The following is a 23,757-nucleotide window of genomic DNA, read 5'->3' on the forward strand; positions in this document are numbered from 1 at the left end:
ACACGCCTTGGGCAAATGACTTCATCTCTTTTTTTTTTTTTCGAGATGGGGTCTTACTCTGTCATGTAGGCTAGAGTGCAGTGGTGTGATCTCAGCTCACTATAGCCTCAATCTCCTGGGCTCAAGCGATTCTCCAGCCTCAGTCTCCCAAGTAGCTGGGACTACAGGTGTGAGCCACCAATGCCGGGCTAATTTTTGTATTTTGTAAAGAAACTTTTTGTAGGCTGGTCTTGAACTCCTGGCCTCAAGTGATCCACCCACTTTGGCCTCCCAAAGTGCTGGGATTACAGGCATGAGCCACCATGCCTGGCCAACTTCACCTCTTAATGCCTCTTTTTTTCTCACCTAAAGAGTGGGATAGTACTTGTGCCTACCTCATGGTAATCAGAGAATTAAAAGATCAAAATTTGTGTAAAGGGCTGAAAACAGTGCCTGGTACACAGACCTCAAAAAGGGTTAACTTTTTTTTTTTGAGATGGTATCTCATTCTGTCACCCAGGCTGGAGTGCAGTGGCACGATCTCAGCTCACTGCAACCTCCGCCTCCCAGGTTCAAGTGATTCTCCTAGCCTCAGCCTCCTGAGTAGTTGGGATTACAGGCACCTGCCACCATGCCCGGCTATTTTTTGTATTTTTAGTAGAGACGGAGTTTCGCCATGTTGGCCAGGCTGATCTCGAACTCCTGACCTCAGGTGAAAAAGGGTTAACTATTTTTACTTATGGGAACACCTAGCAAATTCCTCGAACTCCCTCAAGTGCCCCCAAGGAGCACCCGTTCCAATAGGCATCCTCCTCTGTGAGGCTCACTCCCCACCTGGCATGCCTTGCCATCAGTGCTGGAGAAAGATTGTGGATAAATACCACAAAGTGGTTAGGAGTGGCCACTTTGGGTTCACTGCTGGACTTGTGGGTTCAAATGTCAGTGCCCTGGGCTACCAGCTGTCAGGCCTTCATAGAGGCTTTACCTGTCTGGGCTGCAGTCCCTCATAAATTGGAGATAATCATAGCACCTCCCTCAGGAAGCAGAGTGAATAAGGCAACAAAAACAATTACTGAGTGCCTACTCTGGCTGGACAGGTGCTACCTAATAGGAGTGATCAAGGTACTGCAGGTTGAAATGAAATAACGCTTGTGAAGTGTTGAGGCGTGTATGCCTGCAGAATCATAAGCACTCAATATGCGTTACGTGCTATATGCTACAAACTAAATATATCATACTAAAAAATGTATAGGTCTGCTAGATTTTTAGACAAAAAATATATGCATCTGAATATCCATCTTTTGTTACTCCCATATTCATTTTCTCATTTATTCCCACAAATCAGCCCTGGAGGATAGGCAGGGTGGAGATTTTCTCCTGTTTTTACTGAGGAAAAAGAGGCACTGGGAGGTTAAAATTAAAATGCTGATAAGCTGGTGTCCGGCAACAGGAGATGACTGGGCATATTAAAAAGAAAACCGGCCCGGCGCAGTGGCTCACGCCCCTAATCCCAGCACTTTGGGAGGCCGAGGCAGGCAGATCACTTGAGGCCAGGAGTTCGAGACCAGCCTGGCCCACATGGTGAAACCCTTTCTCTACCAAAAATACAAAAATTAGTGGGCGTGGTGGCATGTGCCTGTAGTCCCAGCTACTCGGGAGGCTGAGACACGAGAATCCCTTGAACCTGGGAGGCGGAGGTTTCAGTGAGCCAAGATTACCCCAGTGCACTCCAGCCTGGGTGACAGAGTGACACCCTGTGTCAAAAATAAAATAAAATAAAATAAAATAAAATAAAATAAAATAAAATAAAATAAAATAAAATAAAATAAGAAATCCAGCGGAGGGCAATGTTCCACCTCGAATCTCTGAGTGGAGAGCCAGAGGCCTTGGGCTGGGAGGTTTGATGGAGGCCTCTGGGTCCAGGGCGCCCCAGCCACGAGGACAGGCAGGAGGGCGGCGGTGGACACGCCCCGGGGCGCACGCTCGCTGGCGGCCGCCTGCCCGTGGGCAGAGGAGCGCACGAGGCCGGGCACGACGCTGGGTGGCGCTGCCGGGCCGCCCCGCGCTAGACCTGTTGCGTCCAGGGCGCAACTCCGGCAGGTTTAGGGTAAAGGGGCGCTCCGCTCTCTCCGCGCGCCCCCTGCAGCCCTGGACGCAGCACCTCCGTTTGGGACGCCCTACGCCCACCTTAACTTGAGGCTCCCATCCACGCAGCCTCTGCAAGCCTCACCGCAACCGTGCTAGGCGCGTCGGGTGGGGCGGGAATAAAGTTTTTCCAACCCAGTTTGGGGAGAGGGCTGGATGGGAAGGACCCTCCCTGCTGCAGACTTCATGGCAGGCTGCACTGTGTCCCCTCGGCTCCACGGCTGCCCCGGGGGCGCTGCTTTCGGTAGGTGCCAGCCCCCGTGCCAGCAGGATGGGCTGACCTGTGTACCGCCCCCTCCCACCCCCTTCCCCATTCCCATCCCCTCCCCCGCCTCCTGCGCGCTCCGGCCCCGGCGTCTCCGGCCCCGCCTGCGCTGGGGTCGCTGCAGTCCCCGCAGCTGCCCCGGGCTGCTTGCCCAGGCGCCCCGGCCTTATTCCAGCCTGGGGAGCGCCTCGGTGGGGAGCACGGGACAGCGAGGGAGGCCGAGGCGGGGGCCCTGGGCGCCCGATATCTCCGAACCGGGGAGGCGGCCCCGATTCCGAGAGCCGGAACGCAGGGAAAGGCAAGGACGGGGCGGCCGGCGGAGGGGCGGGCGCCGCTCATCAGCCACGCCAGTCACGTCTGGGGCCACCGGCTGCCTTTTTCTTCCTTTCCCCCTTTGCTTTCTTCCCCCTCCGCTGTTGGCGAGGGCAAAGTGGCCGTGGCGGCGCCATGCCCGGGCCGGAGTGAGTGCGCGCGGGCGAAAATGGCGTACATCCAGGTAGGGCTGAGGCTGGGGGCAAGGTCCGGGGTGCGGGTAGGGGGTGCCGCGCCCCCTCCGGCTGGGAGCGCGCGGAAGGGAGGGCCCACGGCTAGGCTCCCACAAACTTGCTTCGAGAAAAAGGGTGCCCGTGCGCGGGCAACCTGTGCAGCAACAGGGGTGCGCCCCGGGAGGAGAGACTGGGGACCCCCAAACCCCGGGATGGAGGGTCCTATGTGTACTCTGCAACGCGCGCCCTTGCCTCTTGGGGAGGGAATGGGGGGTGGGGCGGACTTTTCTTCTCCCCTGCCCCCTCCCTCTCCTTGGCACCCCACCCCAGGGGAGGGGCCGTGGGGAGGGCGGCCCGGGGCGCGCCAGCCACCCGGCCCGCCAGCTGCCGTTGCCGTGGTGACGGCTCCGGCTAATTGGCCGGCGGAGCGAGCCTGAGGCAGCTGTTCCGACCAGGAGGGACAAGGACGTCGTCTCTCCTGGGCACTGGGTGCTGAGGGGTGGGGGACACCCAGAGGCCAGAGGCGCGCTGGTGAAGAGAAGGGAGCCTGTTACTTTACTCCGCTGCATTGGGGTCTGGGAGATGTGGACCCTCTTCACCTTGAAGAAACGTCCCCCAAGAATCCTTGGGCTGAAATAATTCTGAAATAATTTCTAAGCAGCCTTTTTTGGGGGGAGGGGGCGGAGGGGTGGGCCGGGCTTCTTGGTGAAAAGACCTTTCTCCTCTGCAAGAAGGGAAGTGACCGCAGGTCAGCGCCAAGGTCAAGCAGGCAGACCCGCAGTGAGACCCGTTGAGCTGCTTGCTTCTGGCGCTGGCGCCTCTGAGCTGGGCAGAGAAGCTTACAGACTCCCACGTCCAGGGTGCATCTTGGCTCACATCTTGTCCCCTCAGCCACAGCTGGGGGTGCTGCTGGTCCTCCCATTCCCCTCTGGGTCACATATCCCCTCATCGTGTCCTCAGACGCTTCAGCCTGCCGGGAACTCTGTGCTGTGTCACCTGGCGGAGCCTCTTCCATTCATCTCCTGCCTTAGATTCCCTGAATTGGCTTCCCTTTCGTGGAATCGCCAGTTTCTCTTCAAGTTCAATGAAGGTCACATTACTGTCCACCCACTGTGTGCTGAATGTTGTCCAGGGGCTATTGAGTAGTCGCCCAACAAACACTTGGGCGACCGCCTACTAAGTGCTGGCACTGGGGATACAGTGATGAAAACAGCACAGTTCCTGCCCCTCTGGGTGCGCAATTTAGTGAGAAATGAACATGATTACCGGCTCCTGGAGTTCTTAATGGCCGCCTTCAGCACAGAGAAATTAAGTGACTTGCCCAAGGCCACATAGCTGCTTAGGGGTCAAGGTGGGATCTCAAGAGGGGACTGTGGTAGATATGTTAAGCATCTCATATGGCGATGACCCAGTGATGTTGGTTTTCCTTCTAGAACAAGGTGTTAAACTTTGTTGTCCTGTAAAGTGCCAGATACTATTTTTTTTCTCTTGGAGGCTCACATGGTCTCTGTCACAACTATTCCACTCTGACTATAGCACCAAAACTGCTATGGACAGTAGTAAATGAGTGGGCGTGGCTGTGTTCCAATAAAACTTTATTTGCAGGCACCAAAATTTGAATTTTGTATACTTTGCACGAGTCAAGAGGCATTCATCTTTTTTTTTTTTCAACCTTTTAAAAACTCACAAATTATTCTTAGCTCAAGGGCTGTAGCAAAACAGGCTGCGGGGCTGGTTTTGATCTGCGAGCCTTAGTTTGCCAACCTCTGTTTAGAATGCATGGGTTGTCTTTCTTCCTCTTTCTTTCTGGTGTGAATTGGTTCTCTTCCATCGGTGTCAAACACGTGAGCCCAGGAGACCCAATGCCAGAAAGACTCAGCATGCCTGGGAATGTCAGGGCACCCTCTTTCATCTTCTTTGCTTTCTCTCTGCTCCTTGACACTCATCTTGCACCTGGGCTTTGAGAAAGTTGGGGAGGCTGTTTTTCAGCAGGGCCATGAGGTGACCTTGTCTCTGTTCACTTTGGTTTCATAAATGGCCTCTTTTGACCACCACATGTCTAGGAAATGCTTCCCTGTATTCAGAAAATGGTCATAGATTATTATGAAAAAGTATCACTTTATCCTAACATTCTAAAGCACTTTTTCATGCAAGCCCTATGAGGGTATAATATTTTGCTGTTTTGTGCCCTGCTGTACCTGCCGGGACAATACCCAGTGCCTACTGGGTTCCACTAGGTCTTGACAATCACCTAATTCTCATCACAGAAAGGGTGCATTTTATTTTTCAGCTGGACCGCACGCAAGTATTTGCATAGTCAGTGTCCTGTCCCACCTCAACAGCACGCCTTTGAGGTATAGAGTAGCCTTTCCACTAAAGAAGAGGTAACCGAGGCTCAGAGAGGCCCCCTGTCTTGCCCAAGTCACATGATCAGTCGATGGTGAGACTAGGACTCTAGTACTTCCTGGCTCAGCTTGTTGCGTGGCCCCTCAGCACCTTTGGGTCTTGTTCTGTGTATGGTTTGAGTTTTGGCTTTAGAGAGTTTGTGATAAGTGCCTTTGACTATTTCCCAAGCTGTTGCTATTCCCTTACCACTTCGAGGATTTCAATTTTTTCACAAGCCACGTACCACCTATACTATGATGATGATGATGATGATGATGATGATGATGATGATTATGATTATTATTTTAGACAGGGTCTCACTCTGTCGCCCAGGCTGGAGTGCAGTGGTGCGATCTCGGCTCACTGCAACCTCTGCTTCCCAGGTTCAAGTGATTCTCCTGCCTCAGCCTCCCCAGCAGCTGGGATTACAGGCGCCTGCCACCACGCCTGGCTAATTTTTTGTATTTTTAGAAAAGAGGGGGTTTCACCATGTTGGCCAGGCTGGTCTCAAACTCCTGACCTCAGGTGATCCACCCGCCTTGGCCTCCCAAAGTACTGTGATTATAGGCATCAGCCACCACGCCCAGCCCTACCTATGCTATTATTAACTTAATTTTTTTTCTATAAATGGGCTCATTTTTATTTTTACTTTAAAAAAATCATATGAAAAGGAAACATTATGTCACTAATATCATAGGAAACCAAGATCATGTGACATCGCAGAAGGCAACTAGAAGAATAAACCCAATGGGAATAATGCCACATTACTGAATTCTAGGTGGACGTGGCTGTCTCCAAGCCTCTGGACAAGATCTACTTTCTTTGTTTAAAAGAAAGGGGATGGGGGAGGGTGGAAATTGGTAAGTGGTAAAAGATGTTAACATGTAGTGGTACCAAATTGAGACTTTCTCCTCCTTAAAGGAGAATCGGAAAAAAGATAATAACTTTCTCCCTCTTGATTCAAAGTTCTGAGTTTGAGTCCCACCTCAGTTCACCTCTGGGACATGCCCGAGGTTGGGATGCAGTACTTCTAACCTATCTAGCCTACTTGGCCCATTTGGAAAACCACCTTAAAGAGAAGGAGGGAGTCTGTGCCTTGAGAACCCAGGAGACGAAGATGGGGAGGCGGGGTGGGGCCACAACAGGAAGGGAGGACCTCCTTCCTCAAGAGGACCAGATTAGGGCTTCCTTTTTAGTTCCCTCTATTTGTGGGTGGTGATAGGAAACACCCCACCATCACCATTGGAGCAGAATTGGAAGGTAGGGCCTCCGGGAGGGCGGGGGAGCCAAGTAACATCCACTGTGTGCCTGCCTGCATGTTAGCTAATCATGTCCTTTTGGGTTGGCTACATGGCTATTTCTGTATAGGAAGGTTTGCTCTTCTCCTGAAGTGTGGCTGCATTGGATAGCATGACTATCTATCCGCCCGCTCTGATTCATAACAGCATACGGTGCAAATCAAATCGAAATGCTAAAGTTTCCCATTTATTTGGTGTTGGTTAACCAGGAGGCTACCAGCAGCCCTGAAAATAGCAACACCTTGTTAGGATGTTAGGAAGTCAGCTCCCTTCCCAGGATGGTAAGTGGAAATATGCAGGGCTTTTTTTTTTTTTTGTAAAATTTTTTTGAGTTGCTGGAATATTGCTAAACTGGTCTTGTCTCTCTTTCTTTAACCCCTTCGTTCCCTTACGCCCTTGGCTTCATCGTGGATCTTAAAAGGGCAGTTGGAACCATTAAACGAGGTGGGTTCATTTGATGATTTGTTTGGTCTGGTTTCTAATCAAGAAATGCCTGACTTTCATTTTGGAGTCTTATGTGGGGCTGTGGGGATATTGAATATTCAACAATAACCTGGTGTTAATAACGGCACAGTTTCCATTCCTTTCTACCGAAAGGAGATCCCGGTTTTGAAAAGACACCAGTTGACAAGACAAGTTTCCCTCTCCACCCCTACTTATTCCGTTTGATTATCTCTGTCTGTTTCATGTCACCGAGATTTTTTAAAAATATTTTTTCCCCTGCTTTCAAGAAGACACAGTAATATTCATTGTGTTTCGAACATATCGTATAGCCCTTATGATGTTGTATAAACCACCCACATGTCAAGAAAGACGTTCACATAAACTACAAAAGAAAATACCTGCAAATGTTTTGCTTGCTACTAACGGCTCCAGCGAGTTGATGTTTGCTATCTTTGTGCCTGCAGTTGGTAAATAGAAATGGAAAACATTTTGTTCTAAGTGCTGAGCAGCAGAGCCAGAACTCCTGAATGTCTATTTCTCATCCGAGATCGGCTGCTTGTAATTTTGGGTGTTGTTTCTCCTCTTCCTCTTCCCCACCCTGCCCACCTCCCCTCTCCCCCATCCCCCCGCCCACCTCCCCCAATGGCCTCAGGGTTTTCTTTCTAGAATCTCTGGTCTGCTGCTGTGCAGATGGACCTGCCGGCACTGCTGTCAGAAGTGCTACGAGTCCAGCTGTTGCCAGTCAAGTGAGGATGAAGTTGAAATTCTGGGACCTTTCCCTGCTCAGACCCCTCCCTGGCTGTAAGTAAAACTGCTCTGAACTTCTCTGAAATCAATTTCAAGACTTTTCCTTTTTAATGAGAAGGCGGGTTGGGGGTCTGGGCCACGGGAGGGAGGATTTGGGGGCATGAAAGAGAAGCAGGCTGAGTTTCCAGGGACAACTTTGCTGCAGACTGGGGATATGTTCTGTACCCCTCATTTTGTTCGGCAAGCTGGCGAGACCAGCTGGTGGTGTGGTTTTAGTTCACCTAGTGGCACATCGGGCCTTCTGAGATACGAACCGTGTAATGCTAAGCGTGTGGGCGTTTTTAGTCACGTGGAGCGTGGTTCCGAGCAGAAAAGGAGATCTGTGAGCCGAGCCTCTATATTCTTCAGGGGCTGACCGCATTCTGAGGGTTTCCATCCAAGTCAGCGTGACAAGATTCCCTAGCACTTAGCCCAGGGCCTGCACATAGTAAAAGCTCGATAAATATCCATTGCATGGATGGGTAGACGGAATGAACAAACAAGTGCCTTTTTGCTGCTCCGAACAAGAACTTCAGAAACAGGGAAGCAGAAAAGCACCTCCAGGCTCCATCCTGTCCTCCAACGCTGTTTATGTTCTCTCTGGCATCTTTCGTTTTATTTCTAATTTGCTCTCCTCCCGCGCCTGCATACAACATCTCCATCTGCCAGTCGCTCAGATATTTTGGGAACGCAGTTTTGAAGCTTCTCAGCCACGTGCCTGGTCCACCTCTCCGTGACTGAGAGAGGGACGTGGTCAGAGAGCCTGGGTACAGTCAAGAAGGTCGGGGCTGGGAAGGATCAAGAAGTCATCAAGTGAGCTTGTCATGCTTCGGAGGGGCAGGCCCAGAGAGGGAGACAGACAGCGGCCAGGACCCACAGCTGGAGCCTGGCAGAGTGGAAGGAGGCAGCGCTGTTTCAGCTCAGTCCTTGGCCTGAGATTCCAAAAGTCTCTGGTGTCCCATCTTTCCCTCCAAGCTGGGGGCTCATGCCTCAGGCCTCTCATTTTCTCTTCTTAGAAGCAAGTATCAAATATTTCCATAGCAAAATGGTTCTGTATCCAGGCTCTGTGGTCTCAACTACTATTTCGAGTTCTGTGACCTTGGGCAAGTGGTTTGATCTCTGTGTGCCTTGATTTCCCATCTGTGAAATGGGATGATAAAAAGAATAGTATTTCTCTCAGAGTTGTCGAAGGGAGTCAATGAATTTGGAATGTGGAAAAGTAGTTAGGAATGCTTGATACTTTGTTGGTGATCATACATGTAAGTAACTCTGGCTGGGCGCAGTGGCTCATGCCTGTAATCCCAGCATTTTGGGAGGCTGAGGGCAGGCGGATCACTTGAGCTCAGGATTTCGAGACCAGCCTGGGCCACATAGTGAGACCCCCCCCATGCCCCATCTCGACAAAACATCAAAAAATTAGCCGGATGTGGTGATGTGTGCCTGTGGCCCCAGCTACTCTGGAGGCTGAGGTGGGAGGATCGCTTGAGCCTAGGAGGTTGAGGCTACAGTGAGCTGTGATTGCGCCACTGCACTCCAGCCTGGGAAAGAATGAGACCCTGTCTCAAAAATAAATACATAAATAAATAAATGAGATATGCATATAATATGCTTAGCACAGAGCAAAAGTTTTATAAGCATTTATTTCTGTCAGTATTAGGTTTCAATAGAGATTAATTAAACTGATACAAACACAATGTTAAAGAACTCTTCCATTATTCATTATTCATAAGTTGTGGCCTGAATCCTACAGGTGTGTGTAGAGTTGAGATTTTTGGTGAAAGCAACTCATTAATCAAGAGATAATTCACAGCCGGGTGCCGTGGCTCTCATCTGTAATCCCAGTGCTTTGGGAGACTGAGGTGGGAGGACTGCTTGAGGTCAGGAGTTTAAGACCAGCCTGGGCAACACGATGAGACCCCTATCTCTACAAAAATTTAAAAAATTAGCTGGGCACGTTGGTGCCTAGAGTTCCAGTTCTTCGGGAGGCTGAGTTGGAAGGATCGTTTGAGCCTGGAAAGTCAGGGCTGCAGTGAGCTATAATCACGCCACTGCAGTCCAGCTTGCGCAACAGAGCAAGACTTCAAAAAAAAAAAAAAAAAAAAAAGGATTCTACTGGTCTATGTAGCAGAAGTTAGTTCAGTCCATCTGATGTCCTTAAAGCTATGCTCACAAGAATGCTATCTCCATGTGGGCAGGGAGTTTTGCCTGCCTTGTTCACTCAGAAAAAGTTGTTGACTGACAGACTATCCTGCAGGCAGAACTTGCATCCTGAAAGTGCCAATCATCAGTTGAAAAGTTAATCTCAGTTCCTTTTGTAGTTATTTCTTAAGTACAGTGTGCCAGGCGCTGTGGTATACACAGGGCTAGATAGGGTCCTGTGACCATGCTCAGGGAATTTTCAGTCTCACGTAGGAGGTAAGGCAGGTATGTAAGTCAGGTTGCCCCCTAGAGTTGTGCATTTACACCCTGCATTCCATATATGACAGTCCTGCATAAGACCTTGTTATGAAAGAATCAGGAATGATGGCTTCAGGCATAGCTGGATCCAGGAGCAGAAATCATGTCATCAGAGCCTTTCTCTCTCTCTCTTTCTTTCTCTGTTTCTTCTGTATTGGCCTCATTGTTAAGCTTGTTTTCTCCATGTGGCAGCACTAGACTTGCATTCTGTTGCGGTTGCATAAAAAACGAACAAACAAACAAAACAAAACCAGGAAAGACTCTTATTAGCCTGGCTCGGGTTATGTACCAATCACTTTCACTTGGAGGAAATGGTGCTAGAATCATGCCAGTTACCTGCCCACCCAGGAAACCAGGGAGATGGTCATTTCCACCAGAAACACAGGAACTGAACTATTAGACCAGGGGTTGGCAAACTTTTAAAGGACCAAATAATAAATATATTAGCCTCATGGGCCATATGGTCTCTGTTGCAGCTACTTATTTCTACCATTGTTATGCAGAAGCAGCTGTAGACAGTAAATGAACGGGCACGTCTGTGTTTCATTAACACTTCATTTACAAAATCAGGCAGTGAATTTGGCTTTGTAGTTTGCAGACCCCTGTAATAGACAATTGGGGTATTGTGACTAGAGGGGAGGAAATTGACTAGAGAGGTGGGCAGACATCACCCCTTGTAGAGATAGGCGTCTCATTGTGTTGCCCAGGCTGGTCTTAAACTCCTGACCTCAAGCAGTCCTCCCACCTCAGCCTCCCAAAGCACTGGGATTACAGGTGAGAGCCGCGGCAACCGGCTGTGAATTATCGCTTGATTAATGAGTTGCTTTCACCAAAAATCTCAACTCCACACACACCTGTAGGATTCAGGCCACAACTACATCTAGGAAGAGCTGGGGGAGCCTGCAAGCTTAGGCTGAGTTGGGTCTTGAATGCCAGAGTAAGGAATCTGGATTTTCTTCGATACCAGCGGAGACCCCTCACAGGTGTTGAGTATCACAGCCAGGTACCTGTTTGCCCCCTAGATATCCAAATGTTGAGTGTTACAGATGCACAGCCTAGGTTCTCATGTTGAGCTGGAGGACAGTTGCGTTTTGCCTTGACTGCTGCTAACCCTTTGTGTAAGCAGGGGCAAGGGGGCTGGGACCCTCTGGGAAGATACTTCTTTTGGTTTTGCCACTAGTAGAGAAGTGGACTGGAACTTTCCCAGCAGGGCCAATACACCACAAAATTCCAGGTGGCGCCATTCACATGGTGGCCATTATGAATGGCACCACCTAGGGTTGTGCAGTCTACAGACTGAACAGCTGTGCGTGACCTTTGTGCTTCCCAGGATGAATGAGGTCTCTTCTGAACACTGGGCAGTGCTTAATACAGTTTTGACACTCAGCATAATGCAAAACGGTAAGAGAAATCTGTAAAGGGAAGATGGCTAAATCATTCAGAAAGTAAATTTACAGCTTTGTGTTTTCCCCAGATTTATTTACCAAGTGGGCAGCTGCATGTTATCAAACAGACAGGAAGTAGAAATGTCAAGTGTATGGGCTTTGCAGTGCTGTTCCTACTGCGACATTTGAGCCAAGAACCATGGGACTTGCCTCTGTGGACTGGCATGTGGCAGATGAGCTGGCCCTTTGTGTGTGCTCTGCGTGTGATCTTGGGGATACATTAATTGTCACATATGCTCATGTCCTGTGGGCCCCCAACTTTTCTTGGCTGGGCTGGGCTGGTGAAGATTAGGAAAACTGCACAATCTGACTGGTGCTTTTTGAAGCAATGCCAGAAAGACCCTCATTGAAGAGTGAATTAAAGTCAAGTTGGTTGATTGTTTGTCGAACAAGCACATATTGAATGCCTACAATGTGCAGAGCTCTTACAGCCCTCTCAGAGATGCCCCACTTGGCGATTGGGAGTGTGTGCCATTTAGAGTTTAGCATTACTGGCTTAGCTGGGGTTCTGCCTTTTAACAGTGGTGCAAATTAGTTATTCATCCTTCTCCCAACCTGTATTAGTTTGTTTTCTGTTGTGATAAAGGGATACCCAAGACTGGGTAAGGTTCAAGTGATTCTCCTTTTTTTTTTTTTGAGACGGAGTCTAGCTCTGTCGCCCAGGCTGGAGTGCAGTGGTGCAATCTCGCTCACTGCAAGCTCTGCCTCCCGGGTTCATGCCATTCTCTTGCCTCAGCCTCCCGAGTAGCTGGGACTACAGGCGTCCGCCACCACGCCCGGCTAATTTTTTGTATTTTTTTTAGTAGAGATGGGGTTTCACCGTGTTAGCTAGGATGGTCTCGATGTCCTGACCTCGTGATCCACCCGCCTCAGCCTCCCAAAATGCTGGGATTACAGACGTGAGCCACCGTGCCCGCCCAGTTTCAAGTGATTCTCATGCCTCAGCCTCCCAAGTAGCTGGGACTGCAAGTGCATGCCACCACGTCAGGTTAATTTTTGTACTTTTAATAGAGATGGGGTTTCGCCATGTCGGCCGGGTTGGTCTCGAACCCCTGACCTCAAGTGATCCACCCACCTCAGCCTCCCAAAGTCCTGGGATTACAGGCATGAGCCACCATGCCTAGCTCCTGATAACACTTTTGAAGAACATCAGATCAGTCTCATCTCATGCACAGGATGCGTCTGAAGACCTCACAGCATTCAAAACTTGCATTTTTCAAGACGAGTTTTCCCATAGGCTTTAATGTCAAGTTGGGGGGTATGCAGCCTCGGAAGGCATAAATCTACAGCCATTATGGCTTAGGGGCATGTTATTAGCAGCATCAGTCTCAAAACGACGTCACCAGCTGTTTTTCTACCTCCTTTCCCATCCCTCCAGCATCCTTACCTAGCTTTATGAGTATTGGGGGGGATCTTAAAGCCACCCCAGTTGTAATAATATCAACTAAGCTGGGCATGGAGGCATGCATCTATAGTCCCAGCTACTCAAGAGGCTGAGGGCGGGAGGATCACTTTGAGCCCAGGAGTTCGAGTCCAGCCTGGGCAACATAGTGAGACCCTGTTTCTTAAAAAAAAAAACAATGAATTGATCGATCAATCAATAAAAAATGTTTCAAGATGTATTGAGCAGCTGTTTACTACGCAACCAAGCACTGTTCTAAGCATTTTATTTATTTTTGAGACAGGGTCTCTTGCTGTGTCACCCAGGCTGGAGTACAGTGGCACAATCATAGCCCACTGCAGCCTCAAACTCCTGGGCTCAAGCAGTCCTCCCGCCTTAGCCTCCCAAGTAACTATGACTACAAACACAGACCACCATGCCCAGCTAATTTAAAAAATTTTTTTGTAGAAACAGAGTTCTGCCATGTTGCCCAGGCTGATCTCAAACTTTCGAGCTCAAGTGATCCTCCTGCCTTAGCTTCCCAAAGTTTACATTCTTCACAAAGTTTACAGCTGTGGGCCACCATGCCCAGCCAACTTTCAGTAGAGATGGGTCCTGCTGTGTTGCCCAGGCTGGTCTCAAACTCCTGGCCTCAAGGGATCCTCCTGCCTTGGCCTCCCAAAATGCTGGGATTATATGTGTGAGCCACCATGCTCGGCCTCTACGCATTTTATATGTGTTAACTCATTCAGTGTTTACAACCACCGTATAATGTGGGTACTGTCAATATTTCCACTTTACAGATGGGGAAATGGAGGTACGGGAGGGGAAAGGGACTTGCCCCAGCACCCAGCCAGGGTTCAGCCCCAGCGGTTCTCTCAATGACTACCCTGTATCGTCTTCCTTCTCCATCCACCCCTACATCCTCCTTCCCAATTTCTCAGCAGTTCTTTATTGGGAGCACATTGAGTCACGGCTGCTGCTAATTTATAGCTATTTCTTTACATCAAACTTCTGTTCAGAAATTGTTGATTTTCAGGGCCATTTCTGCCGCGCAAAGAACCCTTGAGTGACATTGTTATAGGATATTTTTAAAAGATCTTAAATTATAGACACAGTGACTGTTGAAATACCAGGACACTTGTAACCAAAAGCAGAAGTTCGGATGCCTATAAAACAACCAGACGGTTCACTCCAGGCTGGAGATTGACAGGTCTCGGGCTTCACTGAGCCAAAGTGGCGCCCCCACGTGGCGACAGCTTAACTTTACACAGCTCTCCACCCAACCCCAGCTTTGAAATTATGCAAGTTCTTGACAGATTGTTCTAAATTGGGGAATATTTCTTCATATCATTTCACATTTTGTGCAAAAAGCAAGACGTTGTTGAGAGTTTAAGGACACCACACTGTCAAATTTGCATTATTCCATGTTGCATAAAATGAGTCTGAGAGCGGTTTCATCGTGGGTCTTAACCCCCAAGGGACAGAGATGCCAGTCCCCGGGGATTCCTGGACAGCTACTGAGACCTCTTCCCTTCCTATAGGATGGCCAGCCGGAGCAGTGACAAGGATGGTGACTCTGTCCACACGGCCAGCGAAGTCCCGCTGACCCCACGGACCAATTCCCCGGATGGAAGACGCTCGTCCTCAGACACATCCAAGTCTACATACAGCCTGACGCGGAGGATTTCGAGTAAGTATCTCTGCTTTACCTTTCTGGGGGCCCTGGCTGGCTTTCCCAGACACTCTCCCACGGAGAGTCATGAAGGGCAGTGTTATTGCTGGGGGAGGGCGGCAGAGTGGGATGACAGTCCAGGAGACAGGGCGAGAGAGAGATAATGACGGTGTGACAGAGGAGGGCATCACACCTGATTGCTGCTGAGTTTAATCAAAAGCAATCATTTTGATTGATTTTTGCTTTATTAATTTTAAGTTTGATTGAATTGGCTGAATTGATTAACATTGTCAGTGTATATCATTTCAGATTCTGAAAGATGAGTGTGGCTATATTATATAGCAGGGTTTGTCAATTCTGGTGACTTTGGGAGCTAGGCGGGTTGCATCAGTGGCCAAGTGCAGAGGTTGCATAGAGATAAACATTGCCTGAGTGCAGTGACAAATGGCAGCTGCCGCTCTGTCTGGAGAGTTACTAGGGCAGGGTGGGGACTTCGGTCAATTGAAAAGCAAATGCCCCATTGAAAGGGGGCCAGGGTGTCTGCTACTCAGCTCTGGCCAATGGTAGCTGTATGGGATTGGGGGCTCCGTATTGTCTGATCTTTGTAAAGAGATATTGGCAATCTGGGTTTTTTTATGTGAAACATTCTTACTTTCAAGCCTAAACAAAATGTATGTGTGGCCATCAAATTTGACCACCCAATTTGTCCACTCTGTTGTGTGGCGTATGTGTTTGACCAAACAGCATGATTTGGGTGAGGAGGAAAAAGGAGGACAAACACCCAGAGGCTCCCAACCTCCTTCTGCTCCACAAAAGTATCTCTGCTCTGTGTGAACCGATGTCTGAAATTCACCAGACAGAGGGAAAAGCTTCAAATGCATGAAACAAATCCATTCAGGTGGAGATCATTGGTGTCCAACCTTTCCTGGGGATAGAGGGAAAAGAAAAAAGTAGAAAAAAAAAGAGTTCAAGGGCATGAAATAGTGAAACAGAGGGAGCACTGGATTTCTTTAGGCCTCAGTCTTCCCATTTGTAAAATGAGAGGGCTGGTCTAGAGCTGCGCTGTCTGGTATAACAATCACTAGACACACGTAGCTGTTGAGCACGTAAATGGTGTGAGACTGAATCTTACTGATGTTCTGTAAGTGCAAAATACATACTGGACTTTCAGGACAGTGAGGAAAAAAAAAAAAAAAGTCTGGGCGCGGTGGCTCATGCCTGTAATCCCAGCACTTTGGGAGGCCGAGGCGGGAGGATCACCTGAGGTCAGGACTTCGAGACCAGCCTGGCTAACATGGTGAAACCCCATCTCTACTAAAAATACAAAATTAGACGGGCATGGTAGCGCATGCCTGTAATCCCAGCTACCTGGGAGGCTGAGGCAGGAGAATCGGTTGAACCCGGGAGGTGGAGGTTGCAGTGAGCCGAGATTGCACCACTACACTCCAGCTCAGGCAACAAAAATGAAACTCTGTCTCAAAAAAAAAAAAAAAAAGAGAGAGAGGATTTAAAGTATCTCACTAAAATATTTTTATATTGGTTCCATGTTGAAATGAGTATACATTGGATATAGTGGGTTAAATAAAATAAAATATTAAAATTAATTTTGCAGGCTGGGCGCGGTGGCTCACGCCTGTAATCCCAGCACTTTGGGAGGCCGAGGCAGGCAGATAGCTTGAGGCCAGGAGTTCAAGACCATCCTGGCCAACATGATGAAATTCCATCTCTATTAAAAATGCAAAAATGGGCCAGGTGTGGTGGTATACAACTGTAGTCCCAGCTACTTGAGAGGCTGAGCCATGAGATTCACTTGCACCTGGAAGGTGGAGGTTGCAGTGAGCCGAGATCCGCCACTGCACTCCAGCCTGGACGATAGAGCAAGACTCTGTCTCAAAATAAATAAATAAAATTAAATGAATTTTGCCCTTTTATTTGCATATTTTAAAAGTCGTGGCTGCCAGAACATTTTAAGTTACATGTGTGGCTTGCATTTCTGGCTTGCGTTATCTTTCTATGGACAGTGTGGGCCTAGGTAATTTCTAAGTCTCATGCCCAGCTCTGAACACAGGTTATCTCCATTTAGCATACATCTATCAGAGTACCTCCCATGCCTCTGGCAAATGTCTCATAAAGACAACTGTTTGGGCAATTAGCAAGAATGCCATGAGCTCATTGCTAGAAGAGAGGGATGTGCAAAGGTTGGAATAATGAACTTGGGATCAATGCATTCTGCTGGTTCATGGAAGGGAGAGAGGCGGCCCGTAAGCGGTGAGGTTTGAATATGAACCTTGAAGAAGTACAGTCGTTCCCATTTATTGGTCTGTGCCTACGGGCACATTCTGTGCCATGCTCTTTTCATGCCCTGGCTCAGTGAATCTTCACCACATTCTTTGAGGTAGGTGCCGTTATTGACTCTATTTTACTGATGGGAAAACAGAGTCCCAGAGAGTCAAAAGAATATGCCCGGAGTCACATGGCTCACTGGTAATGAGTACACGAGTAGTGAGTAAGTGGCTGAGATGGAATTCCACCCAGGCACTCTGGTCCCAGAGCTCACTCTCTTAAAGTGGAGACATCGTAGGATAATGGTTAGAGCCAGACTCTGGGGTCAGCTAGACCAGCCTGACCCCTGGCTCCTACACTTGCAAGTGTGTGACCTTCAGAAAGTTACTTAAAGCTTCTGTTTCCTCGTCTATAAAGTGGGGATAATAGTAATTATCTAATAATTCAAGGGGATGTGAAGATTGTGATTGCACATATGCGATGATGTAGTGTACACAGTCCATTAGAGCAGTGCCTGGCACTTAGCTGCTGTGATGATGGCAAGGTGTCAATAGTGCCACCAAACTATCTGTCACAGAATCAGTGAGTATTTCAGAGTGTGGAGAAAGATGGCAAAGGTCATTCTGAAGCAGAGTAAACAATGCAAGAATCTGCTTACCTGCAAAGTGGCCCAGGTCTGCCCCGTATGTGGCTGTCTTCATTGTTATTTCTGGTGGCTCTCAGGTCTTGAGTCAAGACGTCCCAGCTCTCCACTCATCGATATTAAACCCATCGAGTTTGGCGTTCTCAGCGCCAAGAAGGAGCCCATCCAACCTTCGGTGCTCAGACGGACCTATAACCCCGACGACTATTTCAGGAAGTTCGAACCCCACCTGTACTCCCTCGACTCCAACAGCGACGATGTGGACTCTCTGACAGACGAGGAGATCCTGTCCAAGTACCAGCTGGGCATGCTGCACTTCAGCACTCAGTACGACCTGCTGCACAACCACCTCACCGTGCGCGTGATCGAGGCCAGGGACCTGCCACCTCCCATCTCCCACGATGGCTCGCGCCAGGACATGGCGCACTCCAACCCCTACGTCAAGATCTGTCTCCTGCCAGACCAGAAGAACTCAAAGCAGACCGGGGTCAAACGCAAGACCCAGAAGCCCGTGTTTGAGGAGCGCTACACCTTCGAGATCCCCTTCCTGGAGGCCCAGAGGAGGACCCTGCTCCTGACCGTGGTGGATTTTGATAAGTTCTCCCGCCACTGTGTCATTGGGAAAGTTTCTGTGCCTTTGTGTGAAGTTGACCTGGTCAAGGGCGGGCACTGGTGGAAGGCGCTGATTCCCAGTTCTCAGGTAAGGGATGGGTTTGTGGTGTTTCCTCCTGGGAGCTTTTTTAAAAAGTGATTATTTTTATTTTATTTTACTGTTTAAAAGGCTTTTTTGGATTTTTAAAACTTTTTATTTTGAAATAATTTTTGACTCACAAGAGGTTGCAAAAATAGCAGAGAGTTCCTGTGTCCTCTTGATCCAGCATGATAGCATCTTACGCAACCAGGAAATAGATGTTGGTAACTAACCTAGAGCTTACTCAGATTTCAGTAGTTTTTTTTTTTTTTTGAGACGCTCTGTCACCCAGGCTGGAGCGCCGTGGCGTGATCTTGGCTCACTGCAAACTCCACCTCCCAGGTTCACGCCATTCTCCTGCCTCAGCCTCCTGAGTAGCTGGGACTATAGGCGCCCGCCACCACGCCCTGCTAATTTTTTTGTATTTTTTTTTTTTTTAGTAGAGATGAGGTTTTCCGTGTTATCCAGGATGGTCTCGATCTCCTGACCTCAAGATTTCACTACTTTTTACATGCATCACTCATGTGTGTGTCTTTCTGTGAAAATTTATCACATGTATAGATTCCTGTAACCACCACCACTCTGGAAGCCTTTTTTAAATCATCGATGCTGAGTTATTTAATAAGGAGAATGATTGCACAGGGTATAAAGCTATCAATCATTTTGACTTTCAGAAATTGATTTTTTTGGGGAAAAAGTGAAGGCTGGAAAACAGGATGATGCATGGATGTTTTTCAGGCCAACTGTTAGATTGGCTTCCTTCCCCCTGTCCAGCCCAGGGAAATGTGGTTGGCTGCTCGGGAAGCCACCCACGGACCAGGCTGTGTCTCCAGTCGGCTGTTGTGCATTCCTGCATATTAGAGGGTAACTGTCTACCCATTGTAGGTAGAAGGATGTGGGGAGCCCAAGGAAAGGAAAAGACCCAGCCACTCCTTCCTCCTTCCCTCCCTTCCCGCTTCTCTCTTCACTCCCTCCCTCCCTTCCTTCCCTGCTACCCTCTTCCCTCCCTTTCTCCCTCCTTCCCCTCCTTCCTCCCTCCCCTCCTCCCCTCTTCCCTTCCTTCTCTCCCTGTCCTGTGGGATGGCTGTTGTAGGAACAGGGACGGGAGATGGAGAAACAGGGGAGGGGGCTTTGGCCACCATGAGGTCAATAAGAGCTGCCTTCCAGGCCAGGCGCAGTGGCTTACGCCTGTAATCCCAGCACTTTGGGAGGCTGAGGCAGGAGAATCACTTGAGTCTAGGCGTTCAAGACCAGCCTGGGCAACACAGTGAGACCCCGTCTCTACAAAAAACAATTTAAAAATTAGCTAGGCATGGTAGTGCACATCTGTAATTCTAGCTACTTGGGAGGCTGAGGCAGGAGGATCTCTTGAGCCCAGAGTTTGAGGCTGCAGTGAGCTATGATCGAGCCACTGCACTCACTCCAGCTCACTCCAGCCTGGTTGACAGAGTGAGACCCTGTCTCTTTAAAAAAAAAAAAAAGTTGCCTTTCCATGGGGAGCCATTTGGTGACGTGCAGAGAAAATGGCCTTGGGTCCAAGCTGCAACCTTCCTCCCAGTGCCTAGCTGTTGCTGGGCCCCTGTGCTCCCTCACCTCACTTCAGGTGAAGTGGAGGTAGTAACACCACCTCGCAGCGAGGGCCTGGCGGGTGGCGAGCACTCCACAGTGGCAGGCCCAGTTGTCAGGAGACGACGTCTTCTATTGTGAACCCATTCAGAGTGAGCCTGTAATGTGTCGCCTTCCAGTGCACTAAGCGGTAATCACACCTGGTGAATATCTAATTGGGCAGACAAGAGGCGGGGAGTGTTCCCGTTCACTCCTGATGCTGAGCCTTCTTGCGGTAGAGGAGCTGGCGTCTCCTCAGCTGAGTTAATCTCGGGGCTGCCATCTCCTTTCCATTTGAAGAGGGACAGCCGGGCCTGTTTCAGGTCACTGCGGGAGCAGGTTTCTCCCAGACAAGGGCTGGCTCCTCACCCTTGATAGAGCTGCAGGCCGTGCCTTAGTTTCATGGGGACCTTTCAGTGCCTCTATGAATTAAAAGTATTCATGTGTATAGGGCTGAGTGCAATGGCTCACACCTGTAATCCCAGCACTTTGGGAGGTTGAGGTGGGAGGATGGCTTGAGCCCAACAGTTCGAGACCAGCCTGGGCAACATAGTGACACCCTATTTCTACAAAACATTAAAAAAAAAAAAATTAGCCAGGCATGGTGGCATGTGCCTGTAGTCCCAGCTACTCGGGAGGCTGAGGCAGGAGGATTGCTCGAGCCCGGGAGTTTGAGGCTGCAGTGAGCTATGATTGCGCCGATGCACTCCAGCCTGGTCAATAGAGTGAGGCCTTGTCTCTAAAAAAATAAAATAACAAAAGTGTGTATAAAGTTGAAATATTGCAGGCAGGTCAACTGCTCTAATTGCTCATCTGATTTATACTCTGGTCCGTCACACTCGGGCTTCCAGCCTTGCTGGTGCTATTATCAGCCAAGTAGTGGCTGTTAATGCCTTTAATTGTGGGTTTGACTCAAGTCCTGGCTGTAAATGCCTTCTGTCTCTCATTCCTGATGATGATGAGTGTTTTCTTAGTACTGTTCAAAATAGTTTTTGGAAGCGTCATCTGGACCCTTAAGATATTTGTTTTCCTTCTCTTCTCCCCTCTTTATTATTCTTTGTTTTTTCTTCTCTGATCTGCTCATTTCTTCATTCTGTTTCTCTTGAGGTCCTATTATGTGCCCGGCATTTCTAGTTGGATTAATAAAAATGAATACCATACCATTCCTAGCAGCAGGAAACTTCCAGTCTAGTGGGAAAGACAGTTTGGTAAACAGCAAGCCATGATGCAGTGTGCTGCATGCGGTAATAAATGGGCAATCAGGACTCATTTGCTTTTTTAAAATTATTATTATTATTTTTTATTTTTAGAAACAGGGTCTTGCTCAGTCGCCCAGGCTGGAATGCAGTGGTGCAATCACAGCTCACTGCAGCCCCAAACTCCTGGGCTCAAGAGATCCTCCCACCTCAGCCTCCCGAGTAGCTGGGACTACAGTTGTATGCCGCTGCACCTGGTTAGTTTTTAAAAAAATACATTTTGCAGAGATGGGGATTTCGCTATGTTGCCTAGGCTGGTCTCCAACTCCTAGTCTCAAGCGATCCTCTCACCTCGGCCTCCTAAAGTTTGCTGGGATTATTGGCATGAGCTACTGAGCCCTGCCAAGACTCGTTTCATTAAGAATGATCAAAATTGGCCTTGAAAATGGGCACCATATTGAAGACTGAGGTACCATCTCTCAGTAATTCCAATATAGCAGGTCTTGCACCGTTGGAGTGGATCAGGATGTATTTGCTCACATTTGGGGAGCAAATGTATTTCAGGCAGAAGTTTTAAATGATGGAATCCACTAGGAAGGTCATGCTATATGAGTATTTCACTTTGAATACCAGACTCATACTAGTGAGGCAAGAAGCTCACACAAAGAGAGGCACTGGAGACTCTGACTGAGGGAAGAATATGCTCCTATTGCCCAGCTAATGCTTACTCTGGAAATTATGCTCTTTGAGTGGAAAAGCCGGTTGTCTTACATGCTGCCAACAATCATATGAAAAAGAGCTCATCACTGATCATTAGAGAAATGCAAATCAACACTACAATGAGATACCATCTCATACCAGTCAGAATGGCTACTATTAAAAAGTCCAAAATAACAGATGCTGGTGAGGTTATAGAGAAAAAGGAACGCTTATACACTGTTGGTGGGAGTGTAAATTAGTTCAGCCATAGTGGAAGACAGTGTCGCAATTCCTCAAAGACCTAAAGACAGAAATACCTTTCCACCCAGCAATCTCATTACTGGGCATATACCCAAAGGAATATAAATTGTTCTATTATAAAGACACATGCATGCGTTATGTTCATTGCAGCACTATTCACAATAGCAAAGGCATGGAATCGACCTAAATGTCCATCAGTGATAGACTGGATAAAGAAAATGTGGTACATATATACCATGGAATACTATGCAGTCATGAAAAAGAACAAGATCATGTCCTTTGCAAGAACATGGATGGAGCTGGAGGCCATTATCCTCAGCAAACTAACACAGGAATGGAAAACCAAATACTCCGTGTTCTCACTTGTAAGTGGGAGCTAAATGCTGAGAACACATGGACACAGAGAGGGGAACAACACACAGTGGGGCCTTTCACAGAATGGAGGGTGGGAGGAGGGAGAGGATCAGGAAAAACAACTAATGGGTACTAGGCTTAATACCTGGGTGATGAAATAATCTATACAACAATCTGCCATGACACGAGTTTACCTATGTAACAAACCTGCACTTATACTCCTGAACTTAAAATAAAAGTTAAAAAAAATTCAGTTCTGCAAAAAAAAAAAAAAAAAAAAAAAAAGAAAGAAAGAAACAAGCTGGTTGTCTTTGGCCGGGTTCCCTAGAAGCAGAGCCAGAGATGGCGATTTGGATGTAGATTTGTTGCCAGGGCTGCCATAACAGAGTACTACAAATTGAGTGGCTTAAAGCAACAAAAATTTATTGTCTCACAGGCCTGGAGGCAAGGAGTCCCAGATCAAGGCATTAGCAGAGTCGTGTTCCCTCTGAAACCTGGAGGGGAAGCCTTCCTTGCTCCTTCCTCGCTTCTGGTGGTTGCAGGCAGTCCTTGGAATTCCTCAGCTGGAGCTGCATTGCTCTAATCCCTGTTCTAACGTCACATGGACATTTTTGCCCTGTGTGTGTCTGTGTCTCTTCTCTTCTTTTTTTTTGAGATGAGTGCTGCTCTGTCGCCCAGGCTGGAGTGCAGTGGTGCGATCTCGGTTCACTGCAAGCTCCGCCTCCCGGGTTCACGCCATTCTCCTGGCTCAGCCTCCCGAGTTGCTGGGACTACAGGCGCCCACCACCACGCCCGGCTAATTTTTCGTAATTTTAGTAGAGATGGGGTTTCACCGTGTTAGCCAGGATGTTCTCAATCTCCTGACCTCATGATCCACCTGCCTCGGCCTCCCATAGTGCTGGGATTACAGGCGTGAGCCACGTCTTTTCTCTTCTTATAAGGACACCGGACACCAGTCATATTGAATTAGGACTTACCCTACTCCAGTGTGACCTCATCTTAATTTAAATAACGACATATACAATGACCCAATTTCCAAATAAGGTCCCATTCTGAGATACTGGGGGTTAGGACCTCAACCTGTCTTTTTTTTTTTTTTTTTTCTGAGACAGGGTCTTGCTCTGTCACCCAGGCTGGATTGCAGTCGTGTAATCATGGCTCAATGCAGCCTTGAACTCCTGGGCTCAAGCAATCCTCCTACCTCAGCCTTTCAAGTGGCTGGGACCATGTGGTACCACAAGTGTACACCAACATGCTCAGATAATTTTTTATTTTTTGTA

The 23,757-nt window shown here is 48.5% G+C and overlaps 1 protein-coding gene and 1 long non-coding RNA gene across 17 annotated transcripts in view, besides 3 other annotated features; one reads left to right on the plus strand and one right to left on the minus strand.

Annotated features, from left to right (window-relative positions):
• Positions 1,860–2,109: a silencer, noted in NCBI's record as "silent region_7243". NCBI's record gives its function as "represses an Ori minimal core promoter by ATAC-STARR-seq in GM12878 lymphoblastoid cells {active_cell/tissue: GM12878}" and the evidence as "EXISTENCE:reporter gene assay evidence [ECO:0000049][PMID:35858748]".
• Positions 2,058–23,757, plus strand: part of SYT17 (synaptotagmin 17) — a 100,499-nt gene continuing 78,799 nt past the window's right edge. For 2 of the 16 annotated variants that reach the window (XM_047434203.1, XM_047434204.1), the window contains exons 1-5: positions 2,058–2,368; positions 6,979–7,001; positions 7,654–7,802; positions 14,615–14,763; positions 17,752–18,371. In XM_047434203.1, coding sequence (XP_047290159.1) covers positions 2,281–2,368; positions 6,979–7,001; positions 7,654–7,802; positions 14,615–14,763; positions 17,752–18,371 — 1,029 coding nt within the window. In that variant the 5' untranslated portion in view covers positions 2,058–2,280. The other 14 variants (NM_016524.4, XM_017023280.2, XM_011545868.2 and 11 more) reach the window with 11 other exon arrangements.
• Positions 2,301–3,048: an enhancer, noted in NCBI's record as "H3K27ac-H3K4me1 hESC enhancer chr16:19179399-19180146 (GRCh37/hg19 assembly coordinates)". NCBI's record gives its function as "activates a minimal SCP1, AML or CMV promoter by ChIP-STARR-seq in primed H9 embryonic stem cells {active_cell/tissue: H9 hESC(primed)}" and the evidence as "EXISTENCE:reporter gene assay evidence [ECO:0000049][PMID:30033119]".
• On the minus strand, positions 14,972–18,284 carry LOC124903658 (uncharacterized). The gene is made up of 2 exons (XR_007065012.1): positions 17,687–18,284; positions 14,972–15,670 (listed from the first exon to the last, which is right to left on the minus strand). It is a non-coding gene; the product is annotated as an uncharacterized LOC124903658 (long non-coding RNA).
• Positions 18,870–19,686: an enhancer, noted in NCBI's record as "H3K27ac-H3K4me1 hESC enhancer chr16:19195968-19196784 (GRCh37/hg19 assembly coordinates)". NCBI's record gives its function as "activates a minimal SCP1, AML or CMV promoter by ChIP-STARR-seq in naive H9 embryonic stem cells {active_cell/tissue: H9 hESC(naive)}" and the evidence as "EXISTENCE:reporter gene assay evidence [ECO:0000049][PMID:30033119]".

This window comes from Homo sapiens, chromosome 16, assembly GCF_000001405.40.
Source record: "Homo sapiens chromosome 16, GRCh38.p14 Primary Assembly".
NCBI classification, from domain to species: domain Eukaryota; kingdom Metazoa; phylum Chordata; class Mammalia; order Primates; family Hominidae; genus Homo; species Homo sapiens.